This window comes from Homo sapiens, chromosome 11 (assembly GCF_000001405.40).
Source record: "Homo sapiens chromosome 11, GRCh38.p14 Primary Assembly".
Taxonomy (NCBI): domain Eukaryota; kingdom Metazoa; phylum Chordata; class Mammalia; order Primates; family Hominidae; genus Homo; species Homo sapiens.
Genome location: NC_000011.10, coordinates 64746369 through 64764287, shown reverse-complemented (window position 1 = coordinate 64764287; position 17919 = coordinate 64746369). Strand labels below are relative to the sequence as shown.

The window sequence follows — 17919 nt, the reverse complement described above, 5'->3', positions numbered from 1 at the left end:
TTCCTGGGGCTCAGACGTCCACGTTTGATGAGCTCCAGTGGTGATTTGTGCCTGGAAGCTGCCACCTAAGGCCCTGGGCCTGGGGAGGCATCAACACTAAAGGTCAAGCCAACTAATCCTGCCTGTCAGGCACAGAGCAGCTAAAATTAAAACCGCCAAGTGGCTTTTTTCCTTCTCTGCTGGTGACTTGCAGCCTGCCAGCGCTGTAGGCTTTGGCGGGGGTCGGGGGGACAGGATAAAGTGCCCCATCTTGTGCTTTGCAAGCACTTTTCAAAGGGTCTTCTGCTTTTTTTCCATGTCTTGGGCGGCGAGTGGGTAGTTACTGTTAGGGTTCCAGAAAAATCCATGTGGAGTCTCCACCAGGTAGTGAGGTCCTCTCCTGGGCAGAGGTGCCTTAGAGCTGCCCTGGTTCCACCTGCCTCTCCTTCCTTCAGGGCGGCTGAGGGACAGTAGGCTCCCCCAGCATCTGGCTGCTGGGGCCAGCAACTGGCCTGGGCTGCTTTCCAGCTGTGAGCTAGGGCTGGCTACTGCTGTTTACTGGGGTGTCTGGTCCCCCGTCCAGGAGGCCTGTGCTTTGCTATGGGTCTGCCAGGCTTGAGGAGCCCTCAGAAGCAAGGCAGGCTCAGTGCGTTTCCCCAGCCAAGCCCTAAACTTCGGCTCACCAAAAGGAGGACATCTTTTTTGCCTTTGTCCTTAAGTGGCAGAATGGGGGCAGGGCCTGGGGCCTGGCTACCCTCTTTGACCTTGGCTTCACCTCATTGCTTCTCCCACAAGCTTGGTTTCCCTGGTGGGCTCATTGGGTGGTTAATTAGCTCTTTGAAGCTCTGGAAGCGGCAAAGTGGCGCTATGTGGGTTTTAGAAATAAAATCAATAAATGACTTAACCACAGCTTAGCTATCTCCTCCGCTTCTCTCCCCCAGGCCAGCTCCATTCCTGTGCTCCCTCCCTTTCTGCTCCCTGCCGTCAGCTTTTGTTAAGGTTTTGGAGAGGAAGTGGCTGACTAAGGCATCAGTCTCCAAGGTGCTAGAGGCCCTGAAATGGAAGAGACAGCAGGAAGGCTTGGCCCTCTGAACCGTGGCAAGCACTTGCCTCTGGCAGAATCAGAGAGAGAAAGGCCTGCCCACCTGTCTTAAGACACCTGGGGTGGGAAAGCAAGCCATTTACTCCATCACATTGTGACAGGGCTGTGCTTGCCCCACCCCCTCTCCTCACGTTCATTTCTGCTGCTGTAGCAGCACTGTCCCCGTCCCTCAAGGCCTGGCAAGGCCTGGCAAGAGGAATGCCAGTGGGGAAAGGTCAGCCTCAGGGCTCTGTTACTGAGGTTCAGCCAAGGGCTCTGGAGAAACCCAGGATTGGTCCAAGGAAGGAGGCCGGGTTTCTAGTTAGAAACTTAGACATAAATAACCTCGAGTGAGTTCAGGTTGTAAAAGTGCTTCAGGGTTCATTAAACCTGCATACACAACACCAAGGAGGGGCGGAGGAAGCAGGGAAACAGATGAGATCGTGCTGCCCAGGTGTGATCATGCTGGGCTGGGGCATGCAGTGTCACCCCGGGACAAAGCCTGGAAACAGTGGGGAGTGATGGCATGACAAAGACGGAAAGAAGCCACAGAAAAGGTAGTTGGAGAAAGTTAAAAATTTCCCAGTAAAAATGTTCCTGAGAGCAAGCGCCCTGGGTGCAAGAGGGGAGAGTAGCTGGGAAAGGATGGAATGAACTTGGCCTTCCCTGCCTGTAAGATGTGGATGGTCTATGGGGATCGGGTCCTCAGTGGCAGGAACATAAAGTCTTGCAGGAAATAGGGGTCAATGCAAAGAAGGTGTGTGTGGCCAAAGCAGGCTGCCACGATTGGGCTGTGAGGTGACGGCATGGTTAACAAGCTACTGCCTGCCTGGCAGTGGACTGCCAAGAAGTCTCAGCTCTACTCACAGCAACCCTCCAAGGGACAAGTGCGGGCTGTGAAGAACCTTGGATGCCAGGCCAAGCTGGAGTCCAAGCTGTGCTTAGTGGAGGATGGGGATGAGGCCCAGGAGCTGAGGCTGGGGTGCAAACTGTGAAAGGGGAAGAGACCAGACAGCTGCCAGCATTGTTTTTTTGTTTGTTTTTGAGACAGAGTCTCGCTGTGTCGCCCAGGCTGGTGTGCAGTGGCGTGATCTCGGCTCACTGCAACCTCTGCCTCCCGGGCTCAAGTGATTCTCCTGCCTCAGCCTCCCGAGTAGCTAGGATTACAGGCATGTGCCACCATGCTTGGCTAATATTTGTATTTTTAGTAGAGACGGGGTTTCGCCATGTTGATCAGGCTGGTCTCGAACTCCTGACCTCAGGTGATCCACCCACCTCGGCCTCAAAGTGCTAGGATTACAGGCGTGAGCCACCGCGCCCGGCCAGCATTGTTTTTTAATGGTTTATGAAACACTTCTTAAGAGAAATTGGAAATTAACAGAAAAATGTAAGGAAAAGTTGTTTGCATCCCCGTGTCTGTGGAGGTGTATTTTGGTGTTTTTTTCCCGATCTTTTTTCTCTACTTGGAAATGTGGCAGGCACCACAGAAGACAGTGTGCCCGTGCCTTTTGGGGGCAGGGGTAGAGCAGGGCTTGGGAGCCTGGAGACCTCTGTAGGACTTGAAGTTTGGCCCACATACTAAGCCGGTGATTCCAGGGCTGGGTCTGCCATGGCTCAGAAAGTGATCGGAGGCCGGGCGCTGTGGCTCATGCCTGTAATCCCAGCATTTTGGGAGGCCAAGGTGGGCGGATCACCTCAGGTCAGGAGTTCCAGACCAGCCTGGTCCAACATGGTGAAACCCCGTCTCTACTAAAAATACAAAACTTAGCTGGGCATGGTGGTGGGTGCCTGTAATCCCAGCTACTCAGGAGGCTGAGGCAGAATTGCTTGAGCCCAGGAGGCGGAGGTTGCAGTGAGCTGAGATCATGCCATTGCACTCTAGCCTGGGCGACAAGAATGAAACTCTACCTCAAAAAAAAAAAAAAAAAAGTTCTCAGAAACAGCTTGGCTTTCTCCGAACCAGGCTCTCAATAGTATCCTGCAGCTGTCCAGGCTTTTGACCTGCTTCCTTGGCCTTCAGAACAGAACACCCAGCTCTTCCCCTCCACCGGCCCACCACCCGGGAGGCCCAAACAGCCTTTGAACTAGCACAAGGTCCTGGTTCCTTTCTCTTAAAGAACAGCAGGATCCGAAGCCTGCCCTCACAAGATGAGGAGGCAGCAGCTGAGAGGCAGGGATTTTTTTTTTTCTCATTGGAGAGTCTAAATTTGGTGAAGGAATCCAAAGCTCAGAAAGGTAAAGCAACCAGCTTGAGGTCACACAGCAAGTCAGTGCTGGGGCCAGAACACAGCAGTGAATGGGAGGATAGCCAAAGCCTCCAGGGAAGGGCTCAAAGCTGTGGGGCTATGCACACAAATGGGGTGAGGTCCTCGAGGTACAGATTAGGCACCCATTTTATAGGCCAGGTCACAGAGCTGGTTTACAAAATCCTGCTCAGAGTGTGGCCCCAGGTGGCAGGAAGAAGTGAAAGAAGGCCTCTAATCACTTCCTAAGCAGTGGAATCACAGGGAGAACTTACTGTCATTAAACCAGTATGATGATGGAGTGGGGAATGCCTCAGTTTCTCCCACCGCCGAGGGCCTATAGGACTACAGTTCCCAGGGCCCCGTGCTGCAGGCTAGCGGCCTCCCGCCAATGCTGGCCAGTAACCTGAGCATCCCTCTCCAAAAGGTCACTTCAGGGCTCCTTGAGGGACAGCAACAGGGGGAGCCTAGAGCTGCTCAGCTTCGGTGGGGGTGGAGTGAGGGCTGTGGCCCTGCCTCACACAACCTCCCTCACACCACCCCTGCAATGCAGGGTCGTGGGCCCCTTTCTCAAAGACATCCAGTGGCCTCTGCTAGTTGCACCTCTTCCGTCAGGGGACACTGACTTGGCTCCTGCACCACAGCCTGCAGGGGGTCCTGGTTCCTTTTGCCACAACACATGGCCTCCCATCCTGGTTCAGCCACTGACAGACAGCTCCCCAATCCAGCACTCTGCCTGCTCCTTCTTGTATCCAACCCTCCAAAAGGCAGGGACAAGGGACAGAAGACCATGTGCAAGGCCTGGAGGAAGTGGGTCAGCACAGGCCTGTGAACAAGCCAGGCCAGTCTTGGCGGCCCAAGTGGAGCTCACCTCTCCCTCCCCTCTCCTCTCCTCCCCTTGCCCTCAAAATAGCTCCCTGAGCTGCCAGGCCAAGACCCTCCCATTGCAGGGGAGGCGGGGCGTGCTGCCCAGAGCCAGGCTTTAAATCCCCTTGAGGCTGGGGAGCTCCACTCCTTGGCTGGAGGCAGTGCTGAGGCCGCCGTCCCCTCTACCATCAGTCCAGTCCGGCCCGCCCTCCTGCAGCCATGTCCCGGCCCCTGTCAGACCAAGAGAAAAGAAAGCAAATCAGTGTGCGTGGCCTGGCCGGCGTGGAGAACGTGACTGAGCTGAAAAAGAACTTCAACCGGCACCTGCATTTCACACTCGTAAAGGACCGCAATGTGGCCACCCCACGAGACTACTACTTTGCTCTGGCCCATACCGTGCGCGACCACCTCGTGGGGCGCTGGATCCGCACGCAGCAGCACTACTATGAGAAGGACCCCAAGGTGCTGCTGGGGAGCCTGGGGTGGGGGTATGGGCTGAAGGCGCTGCCAGGGAGCTGGCGATCTTGACTTAAGTGGCTGCCCCTCGTCACTCTAGGTTCTTGGGGGTGGAGAATCCAGGGGTGCCAGGCACAAGGGGTGCTGGGACAATCTGAGGGAGAAACCTGGGGCAGGAGTGGGGGTCAGGGAGCTCAGAGCAGGTGGGCTGGCTGCAAAGGGTCAGTGCCCACTCGGAGAAGGTTGGAGTGGGTGCTGGTGGGCAGGACGGCGCCTGTGGCCTGGCTGGGCCCAGGTGGAAGGACACATCAGTTGCTGCATGTATGCGCGGTGTGCCTGTGCAGCAGGCGGGGCTGGGGCAGCTGGGGCGGCAGAGATCAAGTGTCCGGTGGGGTCACTGGTAAATGTCAGCAACCTGACACGCCTCGGTGGGGAGTGGGGGAGGGGCGGGCAGACGGCCCAGGAGGGGACCCAGGAAACTGGGAGACCAGGCACTGGCAGCATCCTAGTTTCTGGTGCCTCTGGGTCTCCTTGGGATTGAGGCTTGAGGGCCAAGGGGAACTGGACAGTGCAAGGATGGGAGGTGACAGTCTCTAGCCCAGTCTCTAGCCACTGTGTGACCTTGAGCAAATGACTTTTTTCTCTGGGGGTGTGTGCAGGGGGAAGGGGTGCCCATTCTCCCGAGTACCTCAGTCCCTGAAGTGGGTATGGCCAGCGCTATTTCCCAGATGAGGAGACTGAGGCCAAAGAGAGTGATTTGTCCAAAGTCAGAGGAATGCTGGGACCAGAACCTTAACCGCTGGGCCCCAAAGCCTGAGACAGGGAGAAACAAATTGGGGACAGGGATGGGACTGCTGAGCAGGGCAGGCGGGCCAGAGGTCCAGGCGTGGCTGGGCCTGGCTGAGTGTTGGTGTGTGGCCCTGACCCCATTCCCTGCCCATCCGTCTCTCTGGGCAGAGGATCTACTACCTGTCTTTAGAGTTCTATATGGGACGGACGCTACAGAACACCATGGTGAACCTGGCCTTAGAGAATGCCTGTGACGAGGCCACCTACCAGGTGTGTGTGGGGTGGGGCAAGCCGTGGGGACTGGGGGATTCCACTGCTGACACTTGACCCTGACCACTGTCACCCTCACTCCTCCAGCTGGGCCTGGACATGGAGGAGCTGGAGGAAATTGAGGAGGATGCGGGGCTGGGCAACGGGGGCCTGGGCCGGCTGGCAGGTAAGAAGACAGGGCCGTGAGGGTGGAGTGGGCCGATGGGGTCCTCCTTGCTGGGTCCCTGACAGCCACCTCCCTGCACACCCCCAGCCTGCTTTCTTGACTCCATGGCAACACTGGGCCTGGCCGCCTATGGCTACGGGATTCGCTATGAGTTTGGGATTTTTAACCAGAAGATCTCCGGGGGCTGGCAGGTGAGCAGCCTTGGCTCTAACTTGTGGGGTCTAGTCAGGATGGGGAAGACCCCCACTTGTTTATCATCTCTGGCAAGGTCCGAAACAGCCCCGCAAGCTCTGTGGAAAGCATCCTTGCTGCTCCCCACCCCCCGACCCAAAGCCAGCTGGTGCCCCTGAAACAGGTGGTCCGTGTCCCACTCGATAGCCCAGCAGACCAGGGGCCCACCTCAGAGCTCCTGACTTATACTTGGTGTAGGGTACACCGGCCCACGGCCCCCACCCTGCCCCACCGTGCACTGTGAGTGCCTGTACTGATACTGCTGGCCTTTCTCCCTGACCTGCCTTGGGTGCAGATGGAGGAGGCCGATGACTGGCTTCGCTACGGCAACCCCTGGGAGAAGGCCCGGCCCGAGTTCACGCTACCTGTGCACTTCTACGGCCATGTGGAGCACACCAGCCAGGGTGCCAAGTGGGTGGACACACAGGTGAGGATGAAGCTGGGGGTCAGGGGAGCCCAGAGAAGGGGAGGGAAGAGAAGGAAGCCCAGAGAGGAAGCAGGACCCAGTGTATTTTACACCTGAGGATGCTGAGGCTCAGAGAGGTTAAGTGACTTACTCAAAGTCACACAGCTGAAGCCAGGAGAGACTGGAGACAGGGACACAGGGGAGCCAGCCTAAGTGCAGAGTCTGGAAGGGGAGAGAGGCTGCCCTGCTCCCCCAGTGTCTCCCCATGACCTGGCTCCACTCCACACCATGAGATTTATCAAAGGACCATCTTGGCGACTTGAGTCTGCCCTGAACATCTCGACAGCAGCAGCCCAGAAAGGGGGACAGGAGAAAACTGGAGCCTTCCGAAAGGAATTCACTCATCACACAGCAAGTTAGAGGGATCCTAAAACCAAACCAAATCTAGACACAGTGGCTCATGCCCGTAATCCCAGCACTTTAGAAGGCCGAGGTGACAGTATGGCTTGAGTTCAGGATTTCAAGACCAGCCTGGGCAACATAGAGAGACCCTGTCTCTACAAAAAATAAAAAAAATAGACTGGGGCAGTGGGTCATACCTGTAATCCCAGCACTTTGGGAGGCCAAGGTGAGCAGATTGCTTGAGCTCAGGAGTTCGAGACCAGCCTGGACAAGAGGGCGAAACCCCGTCTACAAAAAATACAAAAATTAGCCAGGCGTGATGGTGTGCGCCTGTAGTCCCAGCTACTCGGGTGGCTGAAGTGGGAGAACTGCTTGAGCCCAGGAGCCTGGGTGACAGAGCCAGACCTCGTCTCAAAAAAAAAATTTAAAAAATTAGCCAGGGTGCTGGTGCATGCCTGTAGTCCCAGCTACTCTGAGGCTTCAGTGGGAGGATCACTTGAGTCCAGGATTTAAAGGCTGCAGTGAGCTATGATTGTACAACTGCACTCCAGCCAGCCTGTGTGACAGAGTGAGACTGTTTCAAAAAGCAAAAAGACCAAAAACTGAAAACCTTAAAACCAAACCAGGTGTACAAATCCCAGTTTAGGCCGGGCGTGGTGACTTACACCTGTAATCTCAGCACTTTGGGAGGCCAAGGCAGGTGGATCACCTGAGGTCAGGAGTTCAAGACTAGCCTGACCAATATGGTGAAACCCAGTCTCTACTAAAAACACAAAAACATTAGCCGGGCATGGTGGCACGTGCCTGTAATCCCAGCCACTCAGGAGGCTGAAGCCAGAGAATCGCTTGAATCCAGGAGGTGGAGGTTACAGTGAGCCAAGATAGTGCCACTGCACTCCAGCCTGGGTAACAGAGTGAGGTCCCATCTCAAAAACAAACAAACAAAAAACAAATCCCAGTTCAGGCAATCTTCCTGCTGAAGCTTCAGGTCATCAGCCCCCAGATGGGCTGCAGATAAACCACTAGGCTTTCAGAACTGAGCATTTGTTTGTTGTCCTCCAGGTTAAGATGCAGTGGGGGCTGCTGGCAGTCCATGCCAGGTGCACGTGGCAACTGGCACAAGTGGCTGTGGCTGGAAGGCAGGAGACCTGGCTCCCTCTGGTGCTGCCAGCCTGGCTGTGTGCTCGGGGATGGGTCCCTTCCCTCTCTCTGTGTCAACTCCCACCCTGCACCAATCAGGGTGACTGAATGTGGGGAGGGAGGGCGATGCCCCTTAAAAGGGCTCGCTTAGAGGAGTGAATGTACCCCTGGCACCGTGGTAGCAGACAATTATTGATGTTTGCTAGTTATGGAAGGCGGGGCAGAATTAGTCACCGTGAATTAGCCCTGTGGTCAACCAGAGATGAGACCTTTGGATGGACTTGACCTCTGTGACCCCTTCAGCCTGGCCCTGGGTTCCCCCAGCCCTCTCATGAGTCCACAGTGTCCTCTAGCTTTTGCTCAGGCCAGGCTGGCCAGCCCAGCCCCCATTGCTGCAGAGTGGTCGCCAACAGAGCCCCTCCTGGGTTCCGGGCTTATCACCTGCCTCCTTCCATTTTCCTCACCACCGTCTGCCCAGGCAGGGCTTATGGGTGTCGGGGAGGTGTTGAGGGTGTCTTTGCTCTAGATGCGGTCCAGAGAGACTATGGGGTTTGCTCATGGTTACCCAGCTCATCGATGCTAGACAAGGACAAGAGCCTGGGTCTGCAGAGTGCAGGGATAAAGCCTTGAGTCCCAGCCCTGAGGGGAGGGAGGCAATTGCCAGGGCTGGCCAGCTCCTGACAGGATTGCCCCCCGCAGGTGGTACTGGCCATGCCCTACGATACGCCCGTGCCTGGCTATCGCAACAATGTTGTCAACACCATGCGCCTCTGGTCTGCCAAGGCTCCCAATGACTTCAACCTCAAGGACTGTGAGTTCATCCACTGGTAGCCAGCAACCCCAGCTTGCCCGCCGGCCACGCCCAGCGCAGGCCTTACCCTGTCCCCACTTTTGTCCCTCAGTCAATGTCGGTGGCTACATCCAGGCTGTGTTGGACCGAAACCTGGCGGAGAACATCTCTCGTGTCCTGTACCCCAATGATAATGTGCGTCACCCCCTGGGCTGGGGGCTGGAAGCCTGAGTCCTTGGCAGCAGGGGTCAGGGAGAGCTGGGGAAGGACACTTGCTGGTGCCCTAGTCACACCCAGGGCATATTGCTGGCCTTGTGCATCCTGTGCCCCCACCTCAAGTCTTTTGAGTGCAAGGACACCTGAGTCCTGAGGAAACTGGGTTAGCGAAGGGCACTTTGGAGGGGCTGTTCCCTGGCGACACCCACAACACACTCGGTTCTTGTACCCCTCTTCCTGACACTGTCTCTCGCCACTAGTTCTTGGTGGAGGAAAGGCCCCTGGGTCCCAGAGAGGGGGCCGGCTCAGGGCTCAGGGGTCCCGGTATGGGTGGGAGTCCCTCCTGGCCACACCCACCGCAGCTTTAGGCCATGCCCCCACCGCCCTGACTCACGCTGCCTCATGCTGTCCCCAGTTCTTCGAAGGGAAGGAGCTGCGGCTGAAGCAGGAGTATTTCGTGGTGGCTGCCACCCTCCAGGACATCATCCGTCGCTTCAAGTCTTCCAAGTTCGGCTGCCGTGATCCCGTGCGCACGAACTTCGATGCCTTCCCAGATAAGGTACCATGCGTGTGGAGGGCGACTCTGTGACCGGACAGTGTGTGCTAGGCCTCTCCCTCCAGCCTCGGCCTGCCTGCCCCATGTAATAGATAAGGGAGTGGAGACTGGGAGTGTGGGAGGGTCAGTTGTTCAGGATTCACAATCCACAGGCTCAGAACCTGGGCTTCCCTCCTCCTCCCGCCCCACTCCCCCCATTCCTCCCACCCCCATGAGCACCGGCCTGCCTCTGCCCACAGCCCAGTCACAGAACCGTGCTGGGCTCTCTGGGGGCCTCCAAATGGCATAGGGCAGTGACCATAGCATGGAATGTGGTTTGGAGCCCAGACTGACCCCTCCCCCTACCCCAGGTGGCCATCCAGCTCAATGACACCCACCCCTCCCTGGCCATCCCCGAGCTGATGAGGATCCTGGTGGACCTGGAACGGATGGACTGGGACAAGGTGGGCTTCAGGGCCCCTCTGCCCCATCTGATGCTCTCTGCCTCGGGGTTCCCTTCCCAGTTTGGGAGCGTGGGAGGATATGAATGGAGTGAAGGGATCAGAGCCTGAGGCCAGAGGGACCGTCCTGGAACCTGGCACTGCAGTGGGGGGGCCCACTGGGATGCGTAGTGTGTGAGGAGACCCACTGGGCTGAGGTCAGCATCCTGACTGCCCACCCCGTGTGCCAGGCGTGGGATGTGACAGTGAGGACCTGTGCCTACACCAACCACACGGTGCTGCCCGAGGCCCTGGAGCGCTGGCCGGTGCACCTCTTGGAGACGCTGCTGCCGCGGCACCTCCAGATCATCTACGAGATCAACCAGCGCTTCCTCAACGTGAGTCCGGAGGCTTGGGGGATGGTGTGGGGGTGAGGGGGGACACCCAGTCTGGGCCTGGGAGTCGGGGCGTCCAGCCAGGGCCCTGAGACTCTGGGGCAGTGGGGGCACTGGGCAGAGCTCTGGGGGTGTGGGGCTGGGGACTGGGGATGGGGGTTCCTGGGTCTGGTTCTAGCTCTGGGCTCTCTGGGCACAGCGGGTGGCGGCCGCATTCCCAGGGGACGTAGACCGGCTGCGGCGCATGTCGCTGGTGGAGGAGGGCGCAGTGAAGCGCATCAACATGGCACACCTGTGCATCGCGGGGTCGCACGCCGTCAACGGCGTGGCGCGCATCCACTCCGAGATCCTCAAGAAGACCATGTGAGCCCCGCTTTCCAGATCCCGCCCCTCTCTAGGCCCCACCCACTCCACGCCTCTGTCACACAGAAGCCCCGCCCTTCACCGACCACTCTCTGGTCTCTGGGCCCTGGCGCCTTTCACAGGTGGCGTCATTCTTACAAGCACAGCAGCCCCTTCCAGTGCCGCCCTGTCCTGAGATGACCTCCTCTTACACACAGCACCCCCAACCTTCCCCAGGTCTGCATTCCCTGCCCCAGGCCCCTTTCAGCAAGACACCAGGGTAGGGGCCCCAGGGCAGAGGCCTTCATTGTACAGGGGTGAGTGGTGACCCTCGTCCAACCTCATCCTGCAGCTTCAAAGACTTCTATGAGCTGGAGCCTCATAAGTTCCAGAATAAGACCAACGGCATCACCCCTCGGCGCTGGCTGGTTCTGTGTAACCCCGGGCTGGCAGAGGTCATTGCTGAGGTGAGAGGCCACCGTAGGGCCAGTAGAGTCAACATGGGTCCCTGCAGGGATCAGCTGGGTATGGTCGTGTAGGTGGTTCACTGCATCAGGGCTCCCAGCTGAAGGCTGAAATCCCTCCTGCACTGTGTTCCCCAAGCCTCGCATCCACCTGGAGGAGGGACACCATCTTAATTGCATGAGGGTGCTCTGTGTGCTAATGGAGGCCCTGGCTGTGGAGGTGAACACAGCAGAGGGAGTCATCCATGGGTCACATCTGAAGTGAGCCTGGAAGGGGGCAGATATCTGGTAGGGAAGGCGCAAGGTCATGCTGGCGTTAGGAAAAGGCCAGGAAGCCAGGAAGGCCTGCTGGGGTCAGGTGGGGTCAGCCATCAGAGCTCAAGGACGGGAGGGGAGGAAGGTGCATGGATGCCCCGTGCCCCATCTGGGCGGCTGGAGGAGGAGGGGCTGGGAGGGCCCCCAGAGCAGCCTGCTGGGTGAAGGGGGCTTGGCTGACCTGGAAATGGCCCCTTCTGTGTTGGGAGGAGGGAGGACATGGGGATGGGCTTGGCTGAGAGCCGTCTTCCCATAGCGCATCGGGGAGGACTTCATCTCTGACCTGGACCAGCTGCGCAAACTGCTCTCCTTTGTGGATGATGAAGCTTTCATTCGGGATGTGGCCAAAGTGAAGCAGGTGGGGAGAGATGCAATGTGGGACAGCTGTGCTGTGTGGAGAGCGCTGGAGGGGCCAGATGTCTGGGTCAGGCGTGGCAAATAGAGCTCATCTCTCCTGCCAGCCCAGGCCGTTGGTGGAAGTTGCCTGGAGTCTGTGGTGGGAAGGCATCATCTGACCTCACATGAACAGTGCTGACATTGATTAGCAATGTCTGCCCTGGTACAGGAGTGGACAGAAGTAGCCAGTGAGCCTCCTGGTAGCCATCCTCCTGGGGCTGACTGGAGTGTGGACTGTAGGATTTCCTGAGGCTGTGGCCTGTTGGTGAGCCCTTCCCCGTCTCTGCCTCCAGGAAAACAAGTTGAAGTTTGCTGCCTACCTAGAGAGGGAATACAAAGTCCACATCAACCCCAACTCACTCTTCGACATCCAGGTGAAGCGGATTCACGAATATAAACGACAGCTCCTCAACTGCCTCCATGTCATCACCCTGTACAACCGTGAGTGGCAGCCACTCTACCCTGTCTCTCAGTGCTCCCCCGTGTTCCTGCGGCATAGTACATATTGCCCAACCAACATCTCCTTTGGACTTGGGACTACTCTTGGGACATGGAATTATCCCCATTTCACAGATGGGCAAACTGAGGCTAAGAGAGCATAGCAAGTGATTGTTCGAGTCAGGCCTACGGTGTCCCAGCCCAGCCTCTGTCAGGAGCTACTACCCAGAGGGAAAGGTAGGCCCACTGGATCCCTCTCGTTTCTCCACAGGCATCAAGAGGGAGCCCAATAAGTTTTTTGTGCCTCGGACTGTGATGATTGGAGGGAAGGTGAGAAGCCAGGCTCCAGCCCTGGGCTCCCGTCCTTTGATATATCCAGGTTGAGGTCAGCCCAGCTGAGTTGCAGGATAGGGGGTGGGGGGCCAGGCAGTAGAGCTGACCCCAGACTTTGTCCCCTCAGGCTGCACCTGGGTACCACATGGCCAAGATGATCATCAGACTCGTCACAGCCATCGGGGATGTGGTCAACCATGACCCGGCAGTGGGTGACCGCCTCCGTGTCATCTTCCTGGAGAACTACCGAGTCTCACTGGCCGAGAAAGGTGGGTGCTGCCAACAGGGACCCTAGGGAGGCTCTGACTAGTTCAGTCTCAGGAAGAGGTATCAGTCGTCTCTTCCTGGGATACTTGTACTTGAAAGAAGAATCTGGAGAGGGCAATGCTTAAACCATGAGGAGGCCAGGCGCAGTGGCCCATGCCTGTAATCCCAGCACTTTGGGAGGCCAAGGTGGGTGGATCACCTGAGGTCAGGAGTTCGAGACCAGCCTGGCCAACATGGTGAAACCCCGTCTCTACTAAAAATACAAAAATTAGCTGGGCGTGATGGCAGGTGCCTATAATCCCAGCTACTTGGGAGGCTGAAGCAGGAGAATCACTTGAACCTGGGAGGCGGAGGTTGCAGTGAGCCGAGATCACGCCATTGCACTTCAGCCTGGGCAACAAAAGCAAAACTCCGTCTCAAAAAACAAGAGGAAACAAAACAAAGCAAAAACCCCATGAGGATGCCCTCTAATGGTGGAATTTCAGGCAGTACAGGGTGAAATTACCTTCAAATCTGCAACAGAGGTGGGGAAATCCAGGTTGGACCTAGATGGTCAAGAATCAACAAGAGGTAGAGGGCAGTGGGGGTGCGGTGTGAGAGGGAGGCTTGGCTGGTGAAGACTGGGAGTTTGGGGTGGGGCGACTCTGAGTCCAGCTATGCCTGGGGCCAGCCTAATCTGAGAGTCCCCAGCTGGTGTGAGGGTCTTCCCTGAGTTGACTTGTCCCCCTGCTGCCACCCCACAGTGATCCCAGCTGCAGACCTCTCTGAGCAGATCTCCACTGCGGGCACTGAAGCCTCAGGCACCGGCAACATGAAGTTCATGCTCAACGGGGCTCTGACCATTGGCACCATGGACGGGGCCAATGTGGAGATGGCAGAAGAGGCGGGAGAGGAAAACTTCTTCATCTTTGGCATGCGGGTGGAGGATGTGGATAAGCTTGACCAAAGAGGGTATGGGGGTCAGGGTTCACGGGCAAAAGACACCCAGGTGTGGCTGCTGGAGAGTGGTGCTGGGAGCAAGCGGCACGTCTGGAAAGACTGGTCCAGGCCCAGCAAGGTCTTGGTCATGGCCAGCAGGATTCTGGGAAACTTTAGAGGGCGCTTACAGCAAATAAGGTTAATGAAATTGGAAAAGAAAGAAGTAATATAGAACTGAAGGAAAAGGAAGAGAATATTATATCAACCCTAAGAGATAATATTGTTTGGGAAATGGAAGTAAAAAAATCCTTGCTCTACGCCGGGTGCGGTGGCTCACACCTGTAATCCCAGCACTTTGGGAGGCCAAGGCGGGCGGATCACAAGGTCAAGAGATCCAGACCATCCTGGCTAACACGGTGAAACCCCATCTCTACTAAAAATACAAAAAATTAGCCGGGCGTGTTGGCAGGCGCCTGTAGTCCCAGCTGATCGGGAGGCTGAGGCAGGAGAATGGTGTGAATCCAGGAGGCGGAGCTTGCAGTGAGCCGAGATCGCGCCACTGCGCTCCAGCCTGGGTAACAGAGTGAGACTCTGCCTCAAAAAAAAAAAAAAAAATCCTTGCTCCCTGAAAGCCATGGGCAAAAGGGAAATATGGGCACAGTAGTTACAAGGGGCCTATGGTCAGAAACAGTTCTTCAGAGAAGACATTATCCTGGCATTACATTAAAAAATTTTATTTTATTTTATTTTAATGTATTTTTTTTTTTGAGACGGAGTCTCGCTCTGTCACCCAGGCTGGAGTGCAGTGGCGCGATCTTGGCTCACTGCAAGCTCCGCCTCCTGGGTTCACACCATTCTCCTGCCTCTACCTCCCGAGTAGCTGGGACTACAGGCACCTGCTGCCACGCCTGGCTAATTTTTTGCATTTTTAGTAGAGACGGGGTTTCACCATGTTAGCCAGGATGGTCTCGATCTGCTGACCTCGTGATCTGCCTGCCTCGGCCTCCCAAAGTGCTGGGATTACAGGCGTGAGCCACTGCGCCCGGCCTTTTGTTTTGTTTTGAGATGGAGTCTTGCTCTGTCACCCAGGCCGCAGTGCAATGGCACGATCTTGGCTCACCGCAACCTCCACCGCCCGGGTACAAGCGATTCTCCTGCCTCAGCCTCCTGAGTAGCTGGGATTACAGATACCCACCACCACGCCCAGCTAATTTTTGTATTTTTAGTAGAGACGGGGTTTCATCATTTTGGCCAGGATGGTCTCTATCTCCTGACCTCAGGTGATCCACCCTCCTCGGCCTCCCAAGTGCTGGGCTTACAGGGGTGAGCCACTGCGCCTGGCCTATTTATTTTTATGTTTTTGAGACAGAGTCACTCTGTCACCTAGGCTGGAGTGCAATGGCATGATTTTGGCTCACTGCAACCTCCGCCTCCCAGGTTCAAGTGATTCTCTCACCTCAGCCTCCCGAGTAGCTGGGATTACAGGCACCCACCATCACGCCCAGGTAATTTTTGTATTTTTGTAGAGATGGGGTTTCATCATGTTGGCCAGGCTGGTCTTGAACTCCTGACCTCAAGTAATCCACCCGCCTCGGCCTCCCAAAGTGCTGGGTTTACAGGCGTGAGCCACCGCGCCCTGCTTGAATCCTGATATCTTAGCATTGGAGAGAGATTTTCCATGTTATTAGTCTTCAAAAATATTTTAAATGTTTGTATAACATTCCATCCTATGAGCATGTCACAACTTATTTAATCAATTCCATGTGGCTGGACACTAAGGTTAATTTCCGGTTTGTTAAATATTACTGTGATGAGCAACCTTTTAATGTCTACGTCCACATCTGATGATTTCCTTAAGATAATTATCAGAAGGGTGATATTTCTGAGTTAAAAAGTATGAGTTCTTAAGGCTCTTGATACAGATTGCCAAACTGCTTTCCAGAAAGTTTCTCCCAGTTTACACTCCCACAACAGCTTCCCAGAGTTGGCATTAAACACTGAAAGAAGTGTCTCCTGTGAGGCTTCACTAGAAAGCTGGCTGTCCCATGGGCAGGAGGGAGCTGTGAGATGTTGTGAGCATGGTCCCGCATGCTCAGAACGAGGCCTGGAAGAACCCTCTGGCTGCAGGATGGAGACAGTGCTGGAGGGGGCAGGTGGGGGACCACTGTGGGGGCTGACACCATAATGCAGGGAGAGTTGCCTGAGAGTCGCACAAGGGACTAGAGAGTCGCACGAGGGATTAGAGATTTTGTGGGGAGCGCTGGTTTCTGGTTGGAACGGTTAGGTTTTGAGACTGGCCTGTGGAGCGCTTTGAGCCGTGGTGGGGGCGCTGAGGGTCAGCTGAAGGGTTATCTTTTTTTTTTTTTTTGAGATGGAGTCTTGCTCTGTTGCCCAGGCTGGAGTGCAATGGCATGATCTCGGTTCACTGCAACCTCCGCCTCCCGGGTTCAAGTGATTCTTCCACCTCAGCCTCCCGAGGAGCTGGGATTACAGGCACACGACACCATGCCCGGCTACTTTTTGTATTTTTGTAGAGACTGGGTTTCACCATGTTGGCCAGGTTGGTCTTGAACTCCTGACCTCCTCAGATGATCCGCCCACCTCGGCCTCCCAAAGTGCTGGGATTACAGGCGTGAGCCACCATGCCTGGCCCAGTTGAAGGGTTGTACCTGTTAGCTGCTCTTGCTGCCCCAGGGCAAGGCCGGATATGGACTTGGGCTACTGGAGGAGAAAAGCCATTTTGGAGCAAACAAACTGGTTAAGAGACAGCAGTGGCGTGTGGGAGAAAAGAGCTTGTTTGGGGGCCTTGGCTCTAACACTTAGCTTTCTGTATCCTCCGGGCCTCAGTTTCTTCATTCACAAAGGAGGGATGAAAAGCTGAGCAGAGAAGGGGAGTTGCAGGGAGGCCCTGCAGGGGCGATGTGGCAGCCCTGGGGAGCAGCAGGCTGGACCTGGGTTTTGACCCTGGGGCATGGGACTTCTCAGCTTTTCTCTGGAAGAGGAGCCAGGAACCCCTTTCCGGGGAGCTGACCACAGCTCTGTCCTGGCAGGTACAATGCCCAGGAGTACTACGATCGCATTCCTGAGCTTCGGCAGGTCATTGAGCAGCTGAGCAGTGGCTTCTTCTCCCCCAAACAGCCCGACCTGTTCAAGGACATTGTCAATATGCTCATGCACCATGACCGGTGAGCTGGTTGGCCCGGGAATCACTCAGGTGGGGCCGCAGGGCAGATCGAGGCTCAGGTGTGTGGTGGGGAAGCCGGACGCGGGTCCTGGTAGTTGGAGCCAGGCGCCTTTGGAAGCAGCATGACCCTCTAGGTCCCCGGCTGTCCACTGGGACAGGGCAGGCTTGGCCCTTGACCTCATAGAACTTATCCTAGCCCCCTAAAGGAATAGCACATGCCTATCCTTTCCCCTCCAGGTTTAAAGTCTTCGCAGATTATGAAGACTACATTAAATGCCAGGAGAAAGTCAGCGCCTTGTACAAGGTGAGGGGTCCTGGGCCAGGGGTTGGCAGGGCTTTGGTGGCCCTGGTTGGGATGAGGCAGAAGGTGGAGATCCTGCCAGCAGAGTGAACCAGAGCTTCCCTTTGACCTGCAGAACCCAAGAGAGTGGACGCGGATGGTGATCCGGAACATAGCCACCTCTGGCAAGTTCTCCAGTGACCGCACCATTGCCCAGTATGCCCGGGAGATCTGGGGTGTGGAGCCTTCCCGCCAGCGCCTGCCAGCCCCGGATGAGGCCATCTGAGCCTCCAGACCAGACCCCAAACCAGCCCTTGAGTCTGTCACACTCTCTTGGGCCAGCCCCAGCACCTCATGCAGAGGGTGGGGTACTGGAGTTAGATCTCTAAGCCCCTCCTGGAACCCTCATTTTCCCCACTCTCAATGTCCCAGTGTCCAGCGTGACTAAGGACACGGGCCCCCTTCCGTCCTCGGGCTCCCGGTCCCCTCCTATTTATGGGGTCTGACCAACTGCACCCACTCCCTAATAAATTCATTCTCCTTGGGAGCCTCCTTACTCCTCTTTGTTGGGAAATA

The 17919-nt window shown here is 56.3% G+C and overlaps 1 protein-coding gene across 2 annotated transcripts, besides 11 other annotated features; it reads left to right on the top strand.

Annotated features, from left to right (window-relative positions):
• Positions 300–1173: an enhancer, noted in NCBI's record as "H3K27ac-H3K4me1 hESC enhancer chr11:64530587-64531460 (GRCh37/hg19 assembly coordinates)". NCBI's record gives its function as "activates a minimal SCP1, AML or CMV promoter by ChIP-STARR-seq in naive H9 embryonic stem cells {active_cell/tissue: H9 hESC(naive)}" and the evidence as "EXISTENCE:reporter gene assay evidence [ECO:0000049][PMID:30033119]".
• Positions 351–400: an enhancer, noted in NCBI's record as "active region_4913". NCBI's record gives its function as "activates an Ori minimal core promoter by ATAC-STARR-seq in GM12878 lymphoblastoid cells {active_cell/tissue: GM12878}" and the evidence as "EXISTENCE:reporter gene assay evidence [ECO:0000049][PMID:35858748]".
• Positions 451–550: an enhancer, noted in NCBI's record as "active region_4912". NCBI's record gives its function as "activates an Ori minimal core promoter by ATAC-STARR-seq in GM12878 lymphoblastoid cells {active_cell/tissue: GM12878}" and the evidence as "EXISTENCE:reporter gene assay evidence [ECO:0000049][PMID:35858748]".
• Positions 1021–1070: an enhancer, noted in NCBI's record as "active region_4911". NCBI's record gives its function as "activates an Ori minimal core promoter by ATAC-STARR-seq in GM12878 lymphoblastoid cells {active_cell/tissue: GM12878}" and the evidence as "EXISTENCE:reporter gene assay evidence [ECO:0000049][PMID:35858748]".
• Positions 1761–2080: an enhancer, noted in NCBI's record as "active region_4910". NCBI's record gives its function as "activates an Ori minimal core promoter by ATAC-STARR-seq in GM12878 lymphoblastoid cells {active_cell/tissue: GM12878}" and the evidence as "EXISTENCE:reporter gene assay evidence [ECO:0000049][PMID:35858748]".
• Positions 2111–2160: an enhancer, noted in NCBI's record as "active region_4909". NCBI's record gives its function as "activates an Ori minimal core promoter by ATAC-STARR-seq in GM12878 lymphoblastoid cells {active_cell/tissue: GM12878}" and the evidence as "EXISTENCE:reporter gene assay evidence [ECO:0000049][PMID:35858748]".
• Positions 3497–4199: an enhancer, noted in NCBI's record as "H3K27ac-H3K4me1 hESC enhancer chr11:64527561-64528263 (GRCh37/hg19 assembly coordinates)". NCBI's record gives its function as "activates a minimal SCP1, AML or CMV promoter by ChIP-STARR-seq in naive H9 embryonic stem cells {active_cell/tissue: H9 hESC(naive)}" and the evidence as "EXISTENCE:reporter gene assay evidence [ECO:0000049][PMID:30033119]".
• On the top strand, positions 3573–17899 carry PYGM (glycogen phosphorylase, muscle associated). 2 transcript variants are annotated; one of them, NM_005609.4, is made up of 20 exons: positions 4314–4632; positions 5584–5685; positions 5773–5851; positions 5939–6042; positions 6378–6509; positions 8730–8841; positions 8933–9015; positions 9452–9595; positions 9943–10035; positions 10263–10409; positions 10606–10769; positions 11101–11215; positions 11784–11885; positions 12217–12364; positions 12633–12691; positions 12822–12963; positions 13705–13912; positions 16930–17064; positions 17301–17367; positions 17480–17890. In NM_005609.4, exons 1-20 carry the CDS (start codon positions 4390–4392, stop codon positions 17627–17629), a joined length of 2529 nt encoding a protein of 842 aa, NP_005600.1. In that variant the 5' UTR covers positions 4314–4389; the 3' UTR covers positions 17630–17890. The 2 variants fall into 2 exon arrangements, with proteins under 2 accessions (NP_001158188.1, NP_005600.1); NM_001164716.1 differs by lacking the exons at positions 5584–5685; positions 5773–5851 and having other exon boundaries at positions 3573–4632; positions 6022–6042; positions 17480–17899.
• Positions 4200–4904: an enhancer, noted in NCBI's record as "H3K27ac-H3K4me1 hESC enhancer chr11:64526856-64527560 (GRCh37/hg19 assembly coordinates)". NCBI's record gives its function as "activates a minimal SCP1, AML or CMV promoter by ChIP-STARR-seq in primed H9 embryonic stem cells {active_cell/tissue: H9 hESC(primed)}" and the evidence as "EXISTENCE:reporter gene assay evidence [ECO:0000049][PMID:30033119]".
• Positions 4905–5608: an enhancer, noted in NCBI's record as "H3K27ac-H3K4me1 hESC enhancer chr11:64526152-64526855 (GRCh37/hg19 assembly coordinates)". NCBI's record gives its function as "activates a minimal SCP1, AML or CMV promoter by ChIP-STARR-seq in naive and primed H9 embryonic stem cells {active_cell/tissue: H9 hESC(naive and primed)}" and the evidence as "EXISTENCE:reporter gene assay evidence [ECO:0000049][PMID:30033119]".
• Positions 5609–6313: an enhancer, noted in NCBI's record as "H3K4me1 hESC enhancer chr11:64525447-64526151 (GRCh37/hg19 assembly coordinates)". NCBI's record gives its function as "activates a minimal SCP1, AML or CMV promoter by ChIP-STARR-seq in primed H9 embryonic stem cells {active_cell/tissue: H9 hESC(primed)}" and the evidence as "EXISTENCE:reporter gene assay evidence [ECO:0000049][PMID:30033119]".
• Positions 10186–10796: an enhancer, noted in NCBI's record as "H3K27ac-H3K4me1 hESC enhancer chr11:64520964-64521574 (GRCh37/hg19 assembly coordinates)". NCBI's record gives its function as "activates a minimal SCP1, AML or CMV promoter by ChIP-STARR-seq in naive H9 embryonic stem cells {active_cell/tissue: H9 hESC(naive)}" and the evidence as "EXISTENCE:reporter gene assay evidence [ECO:0000049][PMID:30033119]".

Coding starts and splice junctions, on each gene's coding strand:
- PYGM (NM_005609.4), top strand. CDS start 4,390: ATGTCCCGGCCCCTGTCAGACCAAGAGAAAAGAAAGCAAATCAGTGTG. Junction 9,596..9,942: donor TCGATGCCTTCCCAGATAAG/GTACCATGCGTG, acceptor CCCCTACCCCAG/GTGGCCATCCAGCTCAATGA. Junction 17,065..17,300: donor ATGCTCATGCACCATGACCG/GTGAGCTGGTTG, acceptor TTTCCCCTCCAG/GTTTAAAGTCTTCGCAGATT.